A 20,243-nucleotide genomic window follows, 5' to 3' on the forward strand; every position below is an offset into this window, starting at 1 on the left:
AAACATTTTCTTTATCTTATTTTAACCCAACTTACTGAATTCTATGACTATTTTCTTAGTTCCTTTTTTTTGTACTTGATAAGATCTCTGAGCTACTCTTTACTGCTTAGATTTTTCAAGTATATGGTATTATATCTTGATTTTGGTGTAATCTCAGAACTCCAGCTATTCTTCCAGTCTATGGGTAGAATAATTATGTCATTAGAGACATTGGAGCCTGCCTCTCCCATGACGGCCAGCTGGCAGGGGATATATATTATATGTCTTGGTTGATGGCTTTCAAGTAAAAGGGTGAATCTGCGAAGACCAGTACTCCTTGCCAACAAGCTCTTTATAAAATCAACTATTTCATTTTGCCGCCTGAGCTCTCCTTTGGCCGTTAGATTGAACAATCACTGGATGTTTCCTAAATTTGTCATCACCCCAAACGGAGACTCTGTAATATTAAGTAATAACTCCTTATTCTCCTCTTCTACCAGTCCCTGGTAACTTCAATTCTACTTTCTGTCTCTATGAATTTGGCTGTTCTAGCTATTTCCTATAAGTGGAATCATTCAATATTTGTCATCTTGTGTCTGACTAATTTTATTTAGCATAATGTTTTTTAAGGTTCATCTGTGTTGTAGCATGTATCAGAACTTTGTTCCTCTTTAACACTGAATAATATTCCATTGTATGGCTATACCGTACTTTGTTTTTCCATTCATTAGATGATGGACACTAGGGTTATTTTCACCTTTTGCCTATTAAAAATAATGCTGCGATGAACACTGGTGTTCCCATTCATTTTGTAAAGTAACCCCCTCTTTTTTCTTCCTTCTCAGCCACATGGCAGCACTTGAGTCTCCAACTCTCATATCCATGGAGGCCGTGCTACTTCCAGCCGTTCCCACCTCCACACACAAAAGTAAAATAGAAATTTCTTTATAAGGGAGAAAAGAAGCTATTAATTGCCCTAATTGTATTTCTTTGTTTAAAAATTATATATGTTTTTGAAAAATATAGAAAAAATAAGAGAGGGGAAGTGTTCCCATACTCCTACCACTTTGGTGTAAGTAATGATATAATTTTGGTTTATTTCTGTCAGTTTTTTTGCATTGCATTCTTTTTCAGACCTAAATGTGAGCATGTTATGGTTCAGAAGTCTAAGTCTGTTTTTGTTTTTGTTTTGCTGAAATTAAAATAGCCATTAAGATTTCCTTTGGTCAGTGTTTGCCTTTTATATCTTTTTTCATCCTATAATTTTCAGTCTTTCTGTGTACTTATATTTCATATATGTCCAAGTCTGCTCCTAATATTTGCAGAGCCTGAGGCAAGAGTACAAATAGAGGCCCACATGCATTCTAATTGCTTTATTCAGTAATTATATCTTCATTTAGGAAAGATTTTCAAATTACAAAGGCCTCATCTGACCGATTCCAGTTACAAATTAGATCAGAATAATTCTCTTGCTCATTTTTATTATTTTGGCTAGTAATTAAATCCTCATTAAATATAAAATGTGTTGTTTGAAAATTTTTTATGATGAATGCTTGACAGAGATTTACCCACTTTCATTATTTCTAGTTTTTAAAAATGTCAGTAGACTGCTTATTTGTGTATTTTATTTTTTTGGCTTTTTTCCTCCTAAGATTTTTTTTCATAGGTTCTCTTTTATCATAATCTCAAATTCTTCTCATTCTATTTCCCCTCCCACCATACACACTGTGAAGCAGTGACTAGCTCCTTCTTAGCTGCGGTAAAACCTGCAAATCTTTACGGCATTTGAACACAGTGACCATTTGTTTCAAGGATTTAGGGCAAGGAAATGTGGAGAAGTACTTTTTCTGGAATGTGAATGGTATTAGACACAACCGTGGATGTTTAGGATTATAGATCATGCTGTGACAGAATGACAAAGGTGTCAATGTGGTCTTTAATATAATTTGTGTGTTGGTGGTATGATGTGCCATTTAAAGCAGCGCTTCTCAAACATTAATGGTACATATGCATCACCCGGAGAAGCTTCTTAAAATGCAGATTCTGAATCTTTAGATCTCGGATGGGGCCTAACAGTCAGCATTTCTAACAGGTGCCTGAGTGATGCTGTTGCTGTTGGTCCGAGATCCATCTCTTGAGTTGTAAGACTCTGAAGCATAGGACCAAGATCAGGGGTCTCTCTCATCTGATATTAAGAGTAGTACTCTGTATGTCCTATATGAATACACTATAGCTGGAATTGATTTTTAATTTGAAATTATAATCATCGCCTTTTAAGAGTCATGTTTAGTTTATTTACATTTATTGTAATTTTCTAAGTTATTGATATATTGGGATTTTTTCCCTATTATTTAAACACTGGCTTTGCATTTTATGCATTCTGTGCTTTGGGCTTTTTTTTAAAACTCTCCTTTTCCCCTGGACCATTTTTTCCCCTTCTTCTTATTCCATTTTTAGCCTGTATTAGTTTAAAAATTAAATGCTTGATTTCTATTCTTTCAATGTCATTCTTAAAATTTTAACATGTATATTACCAAAGTCCTAAATGAATTAATTTATTTTTAAATGGCAAATAAAAATCGTATATATTTATTGTGTACAGCATGATGTTTTGGTATATGCATACATTATGGAATGGCTAAATCAAGGTTAATTAACATATGTATTGCCTCACATACTTATCTTTTTTTGTGGTGAGAGCACTTAAAATCTACTCTGTTAGCAATTTTTAAAATACAAAATATTGTGATTAACTATAATCACTGTGATGTACAATAGGTCTCTTGAATTTATTCCTCCTGTCTAATTGAAATTTTGTATCCCTTGACCAACATCTTCCCAGTCACACCCCCATCCCTCTGGTAACCATCATTCTACTCTAGTTGTATGAGTTCAATTTTTTTAGATTCCATTTATAAGTGATTTAATTAATATCTTTATCCTCTTTCCAGATAATTCAAGGACCTTAGCATTTTAACTCTAGTCAACTGTAATATTACATTCCATCGTATTGCAGTATTTTAGTCTTCTTCTATTAAGCCTTCCAAATTGGATATTAGCATTATTGTGGTTGTTTCACATTAGCATTATTGTGGTTGTTTCAGATAGTCAATATTGATGCAGATTTACCTGAATATTACCCATGATTACCATCATTCCTTCTTTCTACTTAGATTTCCATCATCCTTCTTCTTGAAATATAATTTTTAAAAGGTCCATTGAAGAAGTTCTGTTGATGGTAAATACAGTTTTACTTTCTTTGAAAATATCTTTATTTTGCCCACATCAGTTATTTTATTGTTCAGTATTAAGAAAACCTAATTCCTGTGTTTTCTTCCCATCATTGTTGATATTGAGTTGTGTGCCATCAGGCAAATGTCATTACTTTTTAGATATTCTAAACTGTTGTTTCTTTAAGTAAGTACATTGTCTCCCCTTAATCTGTTCTCTTCGTAATGTTTTATTTATTTGTCTCACTATAATGAATTCTGGACAGTTTCTTCTGGTCTTTCTTTCAGTTTGCTAATTCTCTATTCAGCTGTATCTAATCTGCTATTTAATTCATCCATCAAGTATTTTTTCCTTAGTATTTTGTTTTAATAATTTTATTTACTATTTCTAGATTTTTTTCTAATCATCCTGGTCTTTGTCATAGTATCTTCTTCTTTATATACATTTTATTTATGTATCTGATAACATTAATAACTTAAACCTTTGTAAGTTATAAGTATGTTTTTAGTTTTTGTGCTGATTTTGTTCAAATAAACATATTTTGTATGTGTGTTGTTTGTGTTCTTGCAGATGTGTATGTTTATCATCACTCTACACTCATCTGGACTATATCTTTGGGAATTCTTCATGTCCTATATTGAAAATCCACTTCTTCAAAGAAAGATTACATTTGCTTTTGCCAAGCCCCTAGAAGCCCTACAAACTAGAACTAAAGCTTTACTAAAATAAGCCTAGACCTTCTGCACACATGCCAATAGTATGAATGCAAATCACAAATCTACATCATTTTTATGAATTCTAAACTTTTATGAAGCAGAGAATTTTTTTTATTCTTCTTCACCCAGAACCAAGGACAAAACAGACAAGTTTTCTTTTACGTTCCCTATGCTTGCTGGATTTTCTCTTTCTAGTTTACTCATTCCTTAGGGTCATGGTTTTTCAGGTCTTCCCTCATTGCTTAGGGTCAAGACTGTGCCCCTTGTCCCTCCACATGGTTGTTGAAATGCAAAGCTTTAGGTTAAAGGATCAGCAGTTACCCTTAGAGCAGCCACTGTCTGCAATGCCCATTCATTATGCTAGATTTTTACTTCAGTTTTTTTTTTTTTGAGCTCTGTGGAGTTCTTTTACTTAACTGTTAACTTGCTTAATAAAAACAGATTTAAGAAACATTTTGAATGTTTAAATACCAGCTTTTCTTGGTATTCTATAATGTGAGTGCTTGTATCAATTACAAATTTTAAAATATTATTTGTAAATTAAGTGGTTACTATGGTTAATTTAGAAATGCAGAAAAATAGAAGAATAAAAAATTTTAGAATTTTGTAAACTAGAGATAGCATAACCATTATAAACATGTTAGAATTTAAGATTTTTTTCATATACATTTTTACATAAATGAGATTACACTACATTTATCGATTTGAGCATAAGATATTCTCAAGTGAGAAAGTGAATGATTATATTGAGAGGTTGGCAGCAAATAACATCAAGTCTTTCCAAATGAAAACCTCAATTCTCATATCATTAAATATAAATTTTTCAATGTAGTAATTATTCATCATGTATATTTTTAACAATAAAACTTCTATTTGTGGAAGTACAAGTTTGTGTAGGGGACACATGTTTTCACTTCTCTTGGGTATATACCTAGGAGTAGAATTGCTGTATCATATGGTAACCTGAGTCTTAGCCTTTTAAGGAACAGCAAAATGGTTTTCCAAAAGGCTGTACCATTTTACAGTCCCACCAGTAAGAAGAGGAGAGTAGGACACAGAGACCACGTGAAGACACTTTGCCAACACATGTTATCATCTCTCTTTTTAAATCTTAGCCATCCTATCAGGTATAAAGTAGTATCTCCTTGTAGTTTGAATTTGCATTTATTTAATGAAGCATGATGTTAAACATGTTTTTATGTGCTTATTGTCTATTTGTATATCTTTCCTGGATTATGTCTATTCAGATTCTTGGCCCATTTTTATTGGATTGTTTTTATTTTTGAGTTGTGTTTTTAATATATTCTGGATACAAGTTCATATAAAATACATGATTTGCAAATTATTTTCTCCCATTCTGTGGGCTGTCTTTTCACTTTATTGATGGTGTTCTTTGAAGCACAGAAGTTTTTAATTTTGATGATGCTAATTTATCTATTTTTGTCTCACTTATACTTTTGGTGTCTTATCTAAGAAACTGTCATCTAATCCAAGATCATGAAGAATTATTCCTATGTTTTCTTCTAAGAGTTTTGTAGTTTTCGCTTTTACATTTAGGTCTATGACTCAGTTTGAATTAATTGTATACATGATGTGACAGAGAGGTCCAGCTTCATCTCTGGCATGTAGATATCCAGTTGTCCAAGCATAATTTGTTGAAAAAACTCTGCTTTCCCCTATTCAATTGTCTTGGCATTTTTATAAAAAATAAACCGCATATCTATGTATTTTAAATTCAGTTATATATACTGTCACTAGCCATACCAGGCATCATATGTACTTACAAGCTTAAGACTAGCATGGAAATGATTATCACGGGCCATGGCAAAGAATAATGATCTGCTATTTCCAAAGATTCTGTGAAGATGACTGTGCAGCCGAGAATTTATTTGGTTTATAGAGACTAAAATTCCGTCTGCTTTGTTCACTATTGAGTTAGTAGCTAAACAGTTGTAAAATTTCTCAAGTCTCTCAGAGCTCACACTTGCAGGAAGCTTGATTTCACAACTTGTACATGACAGTCTCACATAAAAGTACTCTCGTGAGAGTGTTACTATGGACAGAAAAAAAGACTATACCTCTTTTATGACTGCTGTTGTTATTTAGGGCTTCTTTTTTCTTGATGTTGTTTCAAAAGGTTGCATTTTGCAATAAGCAGCAACACCTTAAGATAGATCTTAAACAGAACCATGTTTAAGGCTTTTTTTTCTCCCCTTTAGTCACAGTGATTTTCCATTTGCCCTGGAAGGCATTCAGCATTACTTGTAAACAGCAAAGATAAATGTGGCTTCTGATATTCATCTTTATGAATAGTCCATATGTTTATAAATAGGAATAGAACAAAAAGCACTGTCCCAAACTTTCCTTTAAATTCTAAACATCTAAATGTATTTTAAATATTCCACCCCAATTAATCTCACTTTTAAATAAAACATTGCATGTCTAAGGTGGAAAAACAAAAGACTCTTCGACAATGCCACACAACTGCATATGTTTGAAAATAGGGTGGTCACTTTTAATTGATATAGAGGAAATTTGGGAAAGAAGAAAAGTAATCAACTTTCCTATATCTGGAGTCCTTTAACCAATAAACAGACAAACCAACATAAAGCACACATGGTAAGCTCAGCACACATAACTGAATTTCTCTTTTTACGTTTTTGCACCTCAGCCTGTCCAATTGTGCAAAGAAGGGGAGGAGGATTAAATATGCAACTGAGTAGCCAGGGCCTCTAGCTGCTGGTAGTTCCTCAAAGCTGTACATCCCTCCCTCACCATAACTTGTTTGTTCTCTCCAGCAAATACCATTTACTAGGGTGCCCAGATTCACCTCTGTAGGCCCAAGACTGTGAGGTTCCTAGACAACAGGATTTTGCTCTGAATATCATCCATATATGCACTCTTTAATTTAACCCCGTCTTGGCAGGCATAAGGAGTAGCACAATGAAAAAATGTAGATCCTGCCCCCAACAACTGTGTAAGCTTAGGAGACCAGCACTCAGAAGAAATTTTAGCATAGAGTAAGTGCACAGTAAAAGTTTGTTAATAAGGAAGGAAAGAAAGAGGAAGGGTGTGCAGGAGGGAGGAAGGACAAATTTGGATTTCATATGTCATACCAGAGAAAGATGGAAGCAGCATATTGAGATATAGAAGTGGTGTAAAAGACAAGAAGAAATCAGTTTAAGAAGGCATAGGAACCAGAAGTGGAAAATTAGGGTATAAAACTTAAGTGTCTTTGGAGACAAACTGGATTTGAATCTTAGATTTGCCATTTGCTGGCAGTGATTTTGGGCAATTTACTTAATTATATTTGATCTTCAATCCGCTGTATAATGTGTAAGGAGTAACTATCCACGTCATTGGAATTATTAGGAGGATTTAATAAGATAATAAGTTTTACCAATTTAGCACAATTCCCAGCACATAGGAAGGACTCAGGAAATATTAGCCATCAATAGAAGACACTATCTATTCATTTATTTACTTTTATTTACTTATTTATTTATTTTTGAGACAGAGGCTCACTCCGTCACCCAGGCTAGATTGCAGTGGCGCGATCTCGGCTCACTGCAACCTCTGCCTCCCGGGTTCAAGCGATTCTCCTGCCTCAGCCTCCTGAGTAGCTGGGACTACAGGTGCGTGCCACCAAATCCGGCTAATTTTTGCATTTTTTGTAGAGACAGGGTTTCACCATATTGGTCAGGCTGGTCTTGAACTCCTGACCTCGTGATCCACCCACCTTGGCCTCCCAAAGTGCTGGTATTACAGGAATGAGCCACCGCGCCCAGCCTAGAAGAGACGCTCTTGATATTCAGGTTTTCTTTAACCCTGAGATGTGGCCATGGCACACAAATGTAAACATTTTCAAATCAGTCCCAGGTGGTAGGCTTCTAGATTTTTGTTTTTTACCTTTGAAATCGGTTCAAGACAATGCCATTATGGAAAGCCTCTGCAGAAGAAACTATTTTTATTGTACCAATTGCCTTTCTAAAATCTGTCAAATCTTTTAAGTTTCTCCCTTGACCTTTTTGGAAGCTTAAACAGGAACTGAATCATCATAAAATTTTTGAAATTTGCCTTGAATCTACTTTGGAGCTGCATGAATTGAGATCTCTTGGTAACTGACCTTGTGTTGACCCAGATAGGCCTGTTGCAGTGTACGGCATGTACACCGCACACCTGCCACCACCCCTGTGGCAGCAATGTTTGCGAGCCTGAAGAGTTTTGTGTGGGGAGTTATGACAGAAGTCAGCCAAGTGTAGGTAATGATGTCAGGTAGCATGGGAGGTTGGAGCGCAGGAAGAGGCAGGGGGGGGATCTTTAAGCAAGGAACCCTTGTATCCAGCTGTGCCAAATGGGCCTTCCCTGAGGACTTGATAGGCACCCTATTGCCACTTGTAACTCAGCAATTGAGGTCACAGTCAAAGAAAAAAACCTTTATTTTTCACAATGTCATCTTTCAGCAGTACAGCTTCATAAGTGAAGATGGTGATGTTCCAACAGTTCATCTAAACTCTTTAAAATCCTACCAAATACGTTGCAGGTGGTGGGTATGTAGTAAAAGTGGATAGGAGGAGGGTAAGTATTGAAATCTGTTTGAGATATGAAATTACATGAGTAAGGTTTGGGGTTTTCACCACAATTTCACTCGCGTCCATGTGAAGAGACCACCAAACAGGTTTGTGTGAGCAATAAAGCTGTTTATTTCACCTGGGTGCAGGTGGGCTGAGTCCGAAAACAGTCAGTGAAGGGAGATAAGGATGGGGCCATTTTATAGGATTTGGGTAGATAAAGGAAAATTATAGTCAAAGGGGGGTTATTCTCTGGCGGGCAGAGTGGGGGTCACAAGGTGCTCAGTAGGGGAGCTTTTGAGCCAGGATGAGCCAGGAGAAGGAATTTCACAAGACAGTGTCATCAGTTAAGGCAGGAACAGGCCATTTTCACTTCTTTTGTGGTGGAATGTCATCAGTTAAGGCAGGAACCGGCCATCTGGATGTGTACGTGCAGGTCACAAGGGATATGATGGCTTAGCTTGGGCTCAGAGGCCTGACATTCCTGTCTTCTTATATTAATAAGAAAAATAAAATGAAATAGTGGTAAAGTGTTGGGGTGGTGAAAATTTTGGGGGGGTGATATGGAGAGAGAATGGGCGATGTTTCTCAGGGCTGCTTCAAGTGGGATTAGGGGCGGCGTGGGAACCTAGAGTGGGAGAGATTAAGCTGAAGGAAGATTTTGTGGTAAGGGGTGATATTGTGGGGTTGTTAGAAGAAATATTTGTTGTGTAGAATTATTGGTGATGGCCTGGATATGGTTTTGTATGAATTGAAAAACTAAATGGAATAACAGAAGGAGAAAAACAGGTATAAAAGGTCTAAGAATTGGGAGGACCCAGGACATCAGATTAGAGAGTGCCTAAGGAGATTCAGCATAGTCCTGCCAGCAAAGATTATTTATTTACTTCAAGAGTTAAGAGTGGCAGTTTGGGGATAGCACCAGGAGATATCAGCTGTGATGGCTTGGAGAAACAGTGTAAACTGGCAGTGTAAACAAGAGCAGGGCATGTATGAGTAGTTGAGAACGGTGAATAGGAGTATGACTAGACAGAAGATAGTAGGGATGACAAGTTTTTTGGGGGCACAGTCTAAGTTGGTCTGGCGTCTGGAATGAGACTGGGGCCTAATAAAAAGGACCGTCTGTACAGGAGCTCAAATGGGCTGTACGCTGTAGCATTCTGAGGACAGGTCTGACTTCTGAGAAGGGAAAGTGGTAAAAGTATCATCCAGTCCTTTTTAAGTTGGTGGCTGAGCTTGGTGTGGTGTGTTTTTAAAAGACCTTTAGTCCGTTCTACTTTTCCTGAAGGCAGAGGACTGTAAGGGATATAAAGCTTTCACTGAATACTAAGAGCCTGAAAAACTGCTTGGCTGATTTGACTAATAAAGGCTGATCTGTTATCAGACTGTATAGACATGGGAAGGCTAAACTGAGGAATTGTGTCTGACAGAAGGGAAGAAATGACTATGGTGGCCTTCTCAGACCCTGTAGGAAAGGCCTCTACCTATCCAGTGAAATTGTCTACCTAGACTAAGCGGTATTTTAGTTATCTGACATGGGGAATGTTGAGTAAAGCTAATTTGCCAGTCCTGGGTTGGGGTAAATCCTCGAGCTTGATGTGTAGGGAAGGGAGGAGGCCTGAATAATCCCTGAGGAGTAGTAGAATAGCAGATGGAACACTGAGAAGTTATTTCCTTGAGGATAGATTTCCACGATGGAAAGAATATGAGAGGTTCTAAGAGGCGGGCTAGTGGCTTGTACTATAGCATAGCCTGCCTTTGGTGGTGTGTGGCGATTAGGCCTGGTGGAACTGCCATCAATAAATCAAGCGTGATCAGGGTGAGGAACAGGAAAGAAGGAAACATGGGGAAATGAGGTGGATCAGAGAGATACAGTCATGGGGGTCAGGTGTGGTATCAGGAATAATGTGGGAGGCCAGATTGAAGTCCGGGCCAGGAACAATGGTAATTGTCGGACTTAAAGAGTGAGTACAGCTGAAGGAGCCGGGAGCAGAAAGTATATGCATCAGGTATGAGGAAGAAAATAGATTTTGGAAGTTATGAGAAATGTAGAGAGTGTGTTGAGCATAGTTTGTGATTTTTAGGGCCTCTAAAAGTATTAAAGCAGTGGCAGCCACTGCATGCAGACATGAGGGCTAGGCTAAAACAGTAAGGTCAAGTTGTTTGGACAGAAAGGCTACAGGGTGCAGTCCTGGCTCTTGTATAAGAATTCTGACCGCACTAACCATGCCTAGGAAGGAAAGGAGTTGTTGTTTTGTAAGGGATTGAGGTTTAGGGATTAATCAGACACGATCAGTAGGGAGAGCACATGTGTTTTTATGAGAATTATGCCGAGATAGGTAACAGATGAGGAAGAAATTTGGGCTTGACTGAAGTAATGGGGGCTGCCTGTGAAGCTTTGCGGCAGTACAGCCTAGGTAATTTGCTGAGCTTGATGGGTGTCAGGGTCAGTCCAGGTGAAAGCAAAGAAAGGCTGGGATGAAGGGTGCAAAGGAATAGTAAAGAAAGCAGGTTTGAGATCTGGAACAGAATAATGGATTGTGGAGGGAGGTATTGAGGATAGGAGAGTATATGGGTTTAGCACCATGGGGTGGATAGGCAAAACAATTTGGTTGATAAGTCATAGATCCTGAACTAACTTGTAAGGCTTGTCTGGTTTTAGACAGATAAAATGGGGGAATTGTAAGGAGAGTTTATAGGCTTTAAAAGGCCATGCTGTAGCAGGTGAGTGATAACAGGCTTTAACCCTTTCAAAGCATGCTGTGGGATGGGATATTGGCATTAATCGGGGTAAAGGTGGTTAGGTTTTAATGAGATGGTAAGGAGTGTGTGATCAGTCGCCAAGGAGGGAGTAGAGGTATCTTATACTTGTGGGTTAAGGTGGGGGGATACAAGAGGAGGACTCAAAGGAGGCTTTGGATTGGGAAGAAGGGCGGCAGTAAGATGTAGCTGTAATCCAGGAATAGTCAGGGAAGCAGATAATTTAGTTAAAGTGTCTCTGCCTAATAAGGGAACTGGGCAGGTGGGGATAACTAAAAAGGAGTGCTTAAAAGAGTATTGTCTAAGTTGGCACCAGAGTTGGGAAGTTTTAAGAGGTTTAGAAGCCTGGCCGTCAATACCCACAACAGTTATAGAGGCAAGGGAAACAGGCCTTTGAAAAGAAGGTAATGTGGAGTGGGTAGCCTCCATATTGATTAAGAAGAGGACGGACTTACTTTCCACTGTGAGAGTTACTCAAAGCTCGGCGTCCATGATGGTCTACGGGGCTTCCGAGGCAATCGGACAGAGTCAGTCTTCAGCCGCTAAGCTAAGAAGATCTGGGAAGGAGTCAGTCAGAGAGCCTTGGGCCAGAGTTCCAGGGGCTCTGGGAGTGGCTGCCAGGTGAGTTGAACAGTCTGATTTTCAGTGGGGTCTCACACAGATGGGATACGGCTTAGGAGGAATCCTGGGCTGTGGGTGTTCCTCGGCCCAGTGGCCAGATTTCCAGCACTTGTAGCAAGCTCCTGGGGGAGGAGGTTCTGGAGGAACCCCTGGCAGCTGCGGTTCAGGCCTTTGGAGTTCTTGTGTGCTGGAGATGTGGCTGGGGTTTGTCTCACAGTGGAGGCAAGGAATTGCAACTCAGAAATACATTGCTACTTGGCTGCCTCTACTCTATTATTGTACACCTTGAAGTTGAGGTTAATTAAGTCCTGTTGTGGGGTTTGAGGGCCAGAATTTAATTTTTGGAGTTTTATTTAATGTCAGGAGCAGATTGGGTAATAAAACGTATATTGAGAATAAGATGGCCTTTTGACCTTTTAGGGTCTAGGGCTGTAAAGAGTCTCAGGGTTGCTGCCGAACGAGCCATGAACTGGGCTGGGTTTTTCATATTTGATGAAACAGCCTAAACGCTACTGATTTGGGAGAGGTCAGATAAAGAAAAAGGAGCATTAACCTTGACTATGCCTTTAGCTTCAGCCACCTTTTTAAGAGGAAATTGCTGGGCAGGTTGGGGAGGGCTAGTCACGGAATGAAACTGTAAACCGGACTGGGTGTGAGGAGGGGAGTTGATAAAAAGATTATAGGTTGGAGGAGCGGAGCCTGAGGAAGAATTCGGACCTAGCTCGGCCTGGCGAGGAAGGGAGAGGTCAGATGGGTCTGTAGAAAAGGTAGATTAGAAAGACTCAGTGACACTTGGGGTTGGGACTGAGGGGACAGGTGGGAGGGAAACAAGGAAGATTTGGGATGAGTTGCATTGGGAACAGAGACTAGGGAGGGACTGATGTGTAAAAGAATGCCTGGACATCAGGCACCTCAGACCGTTTGCCTATTTTATGACAAAAATTATTTAGAACTTGTAGGGTGGAAAAATTGAAAGTGCCATTTTCTGGCTATTTGGAACTACTGTCGAGTTTGTATTGGGGTCAAGCGGCATTGCAGAAGAAAATAAGATGGTTAAATTTTAGGTCAGGTGAGAGTTGAAGAGGTTTTAAGTTCTTAAGAACACAGGCTAAGGGAGAAGAAGGAGGAATGGAAGGTGAAAGCTTGCCCATAGTGAAGGAGGCAAGCCCAGAGAAAAGACAGTAGAGACACAGAGAAGGGGTGGGGGTTTCTTGCCCTCCAGAAAAGCAGAGAAGGGGTCGGGGTGTGGAAATAAGGGGTTGGGGCACAGAGATAAGAGGTCAGGGCATGGAAATAAGGGATCGGGGCACAGAGATAAGAGGTCGGGGCACAGAAATAACGGATGGGGGCACAGAGACAAGAGGTTGGGGTTCCTGCCCCTCCCCCAGAAAAGCGGGACTTGCCGCTAAGGGTGAAGGACCAAGGCAGGCGTCCCTGCGTGGTCTGACACCACTGAAACCTGGGTGAATAATCAGAGAGGCATCCTTGCAATGATTAAACACCAAGGGACGGCTGCCTTCCCTAGTCCGTGACTGGTGCCGGAGTTTTGGGTCCACAGATAAAAGTGTCTCCTTTGTCTCTACCAGAAAATGAAAGGAATTGAAATTAAGAGAAGGGAGAGATTGAAGTGTGGCGCCAAGATTGAAAGAAGAAAGACGTTGAGGGATAGTGAGAGAGGTTGGAGAAGAGAGTAAAAAAGGCTGCTTATTGGATTTAAAATTGGTGAGATGTTCCTTGGGCTGGTTGGTCGGAGGACCAGAGGTTGTAGGTGGATCTTTCTCATGGAGCAAAATGCAGGAGGACAGGGGATTGATCTCCCAAGGGAGGTCCCCCGATCCAAGTCACGGCACCAAATTTCACTCGTGTCTGTGTGAAGAGACCACCAAACAGGCTTTGTGTGAGCAATACAGCTGTTTATTTCACCTGGGTGCAGGTGGGCTGAGTCTGAAAAGAGAGTCAGCGAAGGGAGATAAGGGTGGGGCTGTTTTATAGGATTTGGGTAGATAAAGGAAAATTACAGTCAAAGGGGGGTTGTTCTCTGGTGGGCAGAGTGGAGGTCACAAGGTGCTCAGTAGGGGAGATTTTGAGCCAGGATGAGCCAGGAGAAGGAATTTCACAAGACAATGTCATCAGTTAAGGCAGGAACAGGCCATTTTCACTTCTTTTGTGGTGGAATGTCATCAGTTAAGGCAGGAATCGGCCATCTGGATGTGTACGTGCAGGTCACAGGGGATATGATGGCTTAGATTGGGCTCAGAGGCCTGACATTATCATTCATAATAACCAGAACTTTATATTCTTAACTACAATTATTAAAGATTTTATAGGTTACAATACACTGGGATATACCTTTCTCAAAGAAACATTTAATGTTATCCCAGAATTAAAATATACTTTTGCAAAATAAAATGTTTATCAAGTCTGCCAAAAAGAGAGCCAATTATTTTGGTTTCTCTCTAGGATTTTAATAAATTCCTTTGATACCTAGTCAAAGCAGTTGAGCATCCTCACATTGAACAAAATGAAAGCAAGGAAGCGATCAATCTCATTTGAAAAGTGAACAAACATAAAAATCATTATCTTTTAAAATTTTTCATTTTTACATGTTGCAAAGAAGAATAACCTTTCTTATGTTTCTTGCATGTTTCTTATTTCCTCAGTAATTAAAAAATCATATTTAGATACATTTATTACTAGTGAATGCTTTTTCATAGTTTTAATCACATTGATTTGTTGAGAATTATCAGAAAACATAATTATTCAGATAAGGAATTGTGAACAGTCTTATGGATTAATACGTTCTCAGAACATCAGTGTTTTAGCAAATAAGATATTATTTACAGTGAGCACATTGTTAGCCTCACTAGATGTCAGTGTAGTTCTAAGTAAATATTTTATATAGTTCCTCAGTAGTGTTGAATGAGAAGATGTTTTGCTTTAGAACTTAAAGATTGAGAAGATGGAATAGTTGCAATAAGTGTTTGTGGTACATTAATTCCAACATCCTCCTCTGATGAAAACACATAATTGGTAAATTTATACACATCAACACAGGGCCAAAAAATAGTCCAAGGATGTAAATAATTATGGATTCATAGGATACATTGTGCTTCCTTAGTCACCAATGTATTTTCCGTACATTGAAAAGTCTTACTGTACATCACAACATGCTGGTCAGCCTTTTAGGGCTTTTCCCAATTGCAAAGGGAGCATGGTTACTCCTCCTGCCATGAGAGGGCAGCACTGAGATTGTCTCCAGCCCAGGAAGCAGTGGGCACTGTTTAGTATGGGTTAGCACCTAGGTTTTTATGTGGAAGCATTCAAGTCAGGCTGTGGTGATATATGTTCTCAGAGTCTACCATAGTATCATTTTAGTGCTTTTATTACAAGTCATCAAACACTGTATCTGAGAAACATGAGGATAAATTATGGTACATTCAAAAACTGCTGATAAATAGCAAAGAAGAGAACAGGGTACTTTGGGAATATAAGGCCTTTTGCGTGAGAAATGTTTTGTGCTAGCTATGAGTGAATTTTCTACAAGCAGAGAAGTTCCATTTGGTCCTCTGAACTGGTTAACATTTTCTTGATTCTTTGCTTAGTGTAGCAAATAAAATTCTGTTTATTCTTTTTGAGAGTTCCCAAAATATCTTTATTGATTTGGATTTTGCTTTTTCACTTTATTTTATAGTTGATTTTAAGTTTTTCTTGAGTGTGTTCATCAGATAGCCATATAAAATGGAACAATGCATTTGTAATAACAAATATTATACATGATATTTTTTTGGCCAGCCCAGTTGCACAGTCAACTGAGAAAGTGGAAGTTATCACTTTCCTCTTAATTCCTTTTACATATTTTTCCTCTGGATGAGAAAATGTTACTTTCTCATATCCAGAAAAGTGTTATAAAATGATACATTGAGATCATCTGATTCCCTCTTTATTGTGATTGTTTCTTTAAAAGAAAAAAAAGCAGAAAGGGGCCATGAACTTACAAAGAAAGTTTTAAAGAATACACCAAAAATTGTTAAAACAATAAATGAGTTCATCAAGGCTGCAGGGCACAAGATCAATACACAAAAATTAATTATATTTTTATATACTTGAAATAAATGATCTGAAAATGAAGGAAACAATTCTGTTTACAATAGCATCTAAAAGAATAAAATATTTAAGAATAACTATAACAAAAGAAGTGTAAAACTAATACTCTGAGAACTATAAAACATTACTGAAATAAATTACAGAAGATCTACATAAGTAGAAAAACAGCCCATGTTCATGGACAAGAAGATTTTAATCTTGTTAAGATAATAGTGCTCCTCAAATAGATCTAAAGATTCAGTACAATCTCTGTTGCAACTGGGATTCTCTAGGCCAGTTGACTTCTTTGTACAAATTGATGAGCTGATCCCAAAATTCATATGGAATTGCAGGGGACTCAGAATAGCCAAAACAATCTTTAAAAAGAAGAATAAGTTGAAGGCCTTTCAAATTTCATAACTTCCCAATTTCAAAACTTACAATAAAGTGACGATAATCAAACATATGTTACTAACATAGGGATAAACATATAGATTAGTGGGATAGAATTGAGAGTCTACAAATAAATCTATATGTCTTTGGTCACCCGAATTTAACAAGGGCACCATGGTTATTCAATAAAGAATATTTTTTAAACAAATGGTGCTAGGATGATTGTATATCCACATGTAAAACAATGAAATTGGGCCCTTACCTCACACAATATAGAAAAATTAACTCAAAGCAGATCAAAGATGTAAATCTAAGATGTATGTACATATAAATCTATTAAACTCCTAGAAGAAAACTCAGGGATAAATCTGCAGGACCTCAGATTTGCCAACGAATTCTTAGGTGTAATTCCCAAAACATGAGCAACAACAACAACAAAAAATTGGTTTTCACCAAAATTAAAATTTTCTGTGCTTCAAAGGATGCTATCAAGAAGTAAAAAAACAACCCATGGAATAAGAGAAAATATTTTCAAATTATATATCCCCTTTGGAACTTGTATCCAGAATATGTAAAGACCCATACAACTCAATAATAAAACAAATTAACCCAATTTTAAAATGGGCAAAGAATCTCAATAGACGTATCTCCATAGAAGGCATACAAATAGACAAAGCACACGGAAAGATTCTCAACATCATTAGCCATCAAAGAAATGCAAATCAAAATCACAAGGAAATAACTCTTCACACCCCGTAGGATGGCTGTATTGAAAAAAATATAACAACAACTTTTGTCAAATGTGGAAAGAAATTAGATCTCTCATACATTGCTGGTGAAAATGTAAAATGATGCTGTCACTTTGGAAAATGGACTGGCAGTTCCTCAAATTGTGACACATAGAGTTACATGTGTCCCAGCAGTTCTACTCCTAGGTATATGCCAATATAAATGAAAATATCTAGCTACAAAAAACTTGTACACAAAGGCATTATTCATAACAGCATTATTCATAACAATCATAAGGTAGAAACCTAAATGTCTGTTAACTGTTGAATAGATAAACAAAATGTGGCATAAAATATGGCGTATCCATACAATTAAATGTTATTTGGCCATAAGAAGCAATGAAAATACAGCAGTTAGTGATAGATGCTACAATAAGAAGGAAACTTGAAACCATGAAACTATTAAGCTAAGTTAAATAAGACAGCCACAAAGGACCACATACTATATAATCCCATTTATATGAGATGTCCAGAATAAGCAAATCCATACAAACAGAAAGTAGATTAGTGATTGCTCAGGGCTGGGGGTGATGGGTGGGTAGGAGAGTGATAGCTAAAGGGCAGAAATGTTCTGAAATTGACTGTGGGGGTGGTTTCACATATCTCTGAGTAAATTAAAACCATCCAATTCCGTGAATTTAGTGGGTGAATTCACATAGCTGTGAATTTTATCTAAATTGTGAAAATAAAACAGGAATGTGATGCTCTAACCAGCATAGGCCCAGGCCGCATGCTTCTGGGGAAGAAATTCCACCTGAATACTTGGGCTGTAAATAGGTCATTTTCATGGGAAAAGGATGAATAGATGCCAGATGGTAAGAAGGGTGAAAGTCTACTACACATGTCTGCGAGGTCGGTAAGGGATCTGGTCTTTGCAAAGGAAGGTTATATTAGAGCTCAGTTGAGAAGAGAAAGGGAAAGGGACTCAAATTCATGCTTAAGGGTGCTGTGACAGGTATCCATACCTTTATTAAAAGACATGTACAGGAACGTTCATAGCAACACAGTTTATTAGCCCCAAATATCCATCAATATTTGAACAAATAAATTGTGGTATATTCAAAATGGAATACCATATGGCAACAAGAATGACCAAACTACAAAAGCATACAATATGAATGAATCCCATAAACCTAATATTGAATGAAAAGAGTTATTCAGACAGATGTAGTGCCTCAGGCTTGTAATTCAGCACCTTGGGAGGCTGAAGCGAGTGGATCACTTGAGGTCAGGAGTTCGAGACCAGCCTGGCCAACATGGCGAAACCCCATCTGTACCAAAAATACAAAAATTAGCCAGGCAGGATGGCATATGCCTGTAATCCCAGCTACTTGGGAGGCTGAGGCAGGGGAATCACTTGAACCTGGGAGGCAGAGGTTGCAGTAAGCTGAGATTGTGCCACTGCATGCCAGCCTGGGCAACAGAGTGAGACTGTCTCAAAAAAAAAAAGAAAAGAGTCATTAACAGACAGACAAACAATATGATTCCATTTACATAAAGTTCAAAAATAGGCTAAATGAATCTATGCTGTAGGAAGACAGATTAGTATATATCCTTGTGGGGGGCTGTGAATGGATGAGTACAGGAGAGGAATGACTTTGGGGTGTTGACAGTGTTCTGTTTCTTGATCAGGGTGCTGTTTATATGAGGTGTTCACTTTATGAAAATTCTTTCAGTTGTGCACTTGTTATTTACTCACCATTCTCTATGTAAGTTAGATTGTGACAAAAGCGAAATTAAAAAGAAACTAAATACCCTTGTTGTTGTTTACTTTCCCTAAAGATAGAGAGCACATCGTGTTTATTTCTAATGCTTATTCAAAGGGGTAGAGACTCTGAGAAAGGATGAGGTGGCGGGATAACTACTTACAAGAGTCACAGTTACGGGGCTATTATTTCCTGGGCATGGAAAGAGTAGATCCCTTCCAGCCTAGCCATTTCATTCTTATTGTCTTGGAAGCAAACTGTCCAGCTGTTCTTCTTAACGTCAGGTTAACAATGATTGTGGTCATTCCCTGCTGCATGGGTCAGGCTGTGAGACACCCTCCCCTTAAATTTACATAGAGACAGAAGGTATAGACAGGTGCAAATGGGAAGGGAACAGCGTATTTCTCCACTGTGTGCTTATGTCCAAATTGGAAACCAGCCTTATTCTTGCTCACTAATTATTAAGGAAAATAATTTTTAACTATCAGGACACTGTTCTTCAAATGGTGATTGGGTGAAGGAGATTTTCTTTGAGTTCTGTGAAATACTAAAAATTCTATGTGTTGATAATGACTAAAAATATATTTTCCACTTGTAAAGACAAAACTTCTGTATTGCAAAGTTATTTTAATAGAATAAAATCTTAGTTTCTTGAGTCAGTCTTTTGCAAATAGGGTTCCATGTATAAACTATCAAGAAAATATTTCCAATAAATGCACTGGGGTAGGTTTAGATTTATTTGACATATACAGGAATATTTGAGGGAAGGGAGCAATAAATTCATCTCTTTAATTTGCTGCAGGCTTTCCTTAGAGGGAGCGCTTTTTTAGCTGGTGTTAAGATGGAGAAAGGTGCCTTCTATCGTGCTGTTGCTGAATTCCCTGCTCCAGAAACATGCAGAACATTAGCATGACCCAACTGCTTGAAAGCAAACAAGATGCTCTTGTCTTAAAAAGCATCATTTCGGAGGAAGAAAAGCCATAATGAACCCTCCCTTTTTCTTTTTCTTAACTGAGGAGTAGCAAATGGTATTTAAGCTGTTATCTGGCAACAAAAGTTTCAAGTAATGTTTTTTAAAAAAGCCTGCCAACACTTCTTTCTGCTGGGCACTGATATAGCTGAGTTAAAGGCCCTTTCGAGATGGAGAATATGACAAGAAAAGTTGCACACCCCTAACCAAAGTGGGCTTTCCAAGAGCTAGAATAAAGCCACTTCATTAAGGTTTCTCACACTGGTGTTTTTTGGCAGCATTTTTCAAGGATCATTTCCTCCATGGGGGAAATGAAGTGGCAGTGTCTTTCCTAACTATTGCTAAAGGTGAAGTAAGAATTTGAATTGAGAAAGGCAGTTAAAATAGTATCTGAACTTTTGAACTTCCTGATCAGATAATTATTC

At 38.1% G+C, this 20,243-nt stretch overlaps 1 protein-coding gene across 3 annotated transcripts in view, besides 1 other annotated feature; it reads left to right on the top strand.

Moving 5' to 3' along the window:
- Positions 1–20,243, top strand: part of ST6GALNAC5 (ST6 N-acetylgalactosaminide alpha-2,6-sialyltransferase 5) — a 200,067-nt gene that overhangs the window by 18,763 nt on the left and 161,061 nt on the right. The gene's annotated exons all lie outside the window — the stretch shown is intronic.
- Positions 13,735–14,274: an enhancer, noted in NCBI's record as "NANOG hESC enhancer chr1:77365662-77366201 (GRCh37/hg19 assembly coordinates)". NCBI's record gives its function as "activates a minimal SCP1, AML or CMV promoter by ChIP-STARR-seq in naive H9 embryonic stem cells {active_cell/tissue: H9 hESC(naive)}" and the evidence as "EXISTENCE:reporter gene assay evidence [ECO:0000049][PMID:30033119]".

The sequence above is a fragment of the Homo sapiens genome, chromosome 1, assembly GCF_000001405.40.
Source record: "Homo sapiens chromosome 1, GRCh38.p14 Primary Assembly".
NCBI lineage: Eukaryota > Metazoa > Chordata > Mammalia > Primates > Hominidae > Homo > Homo sapiens.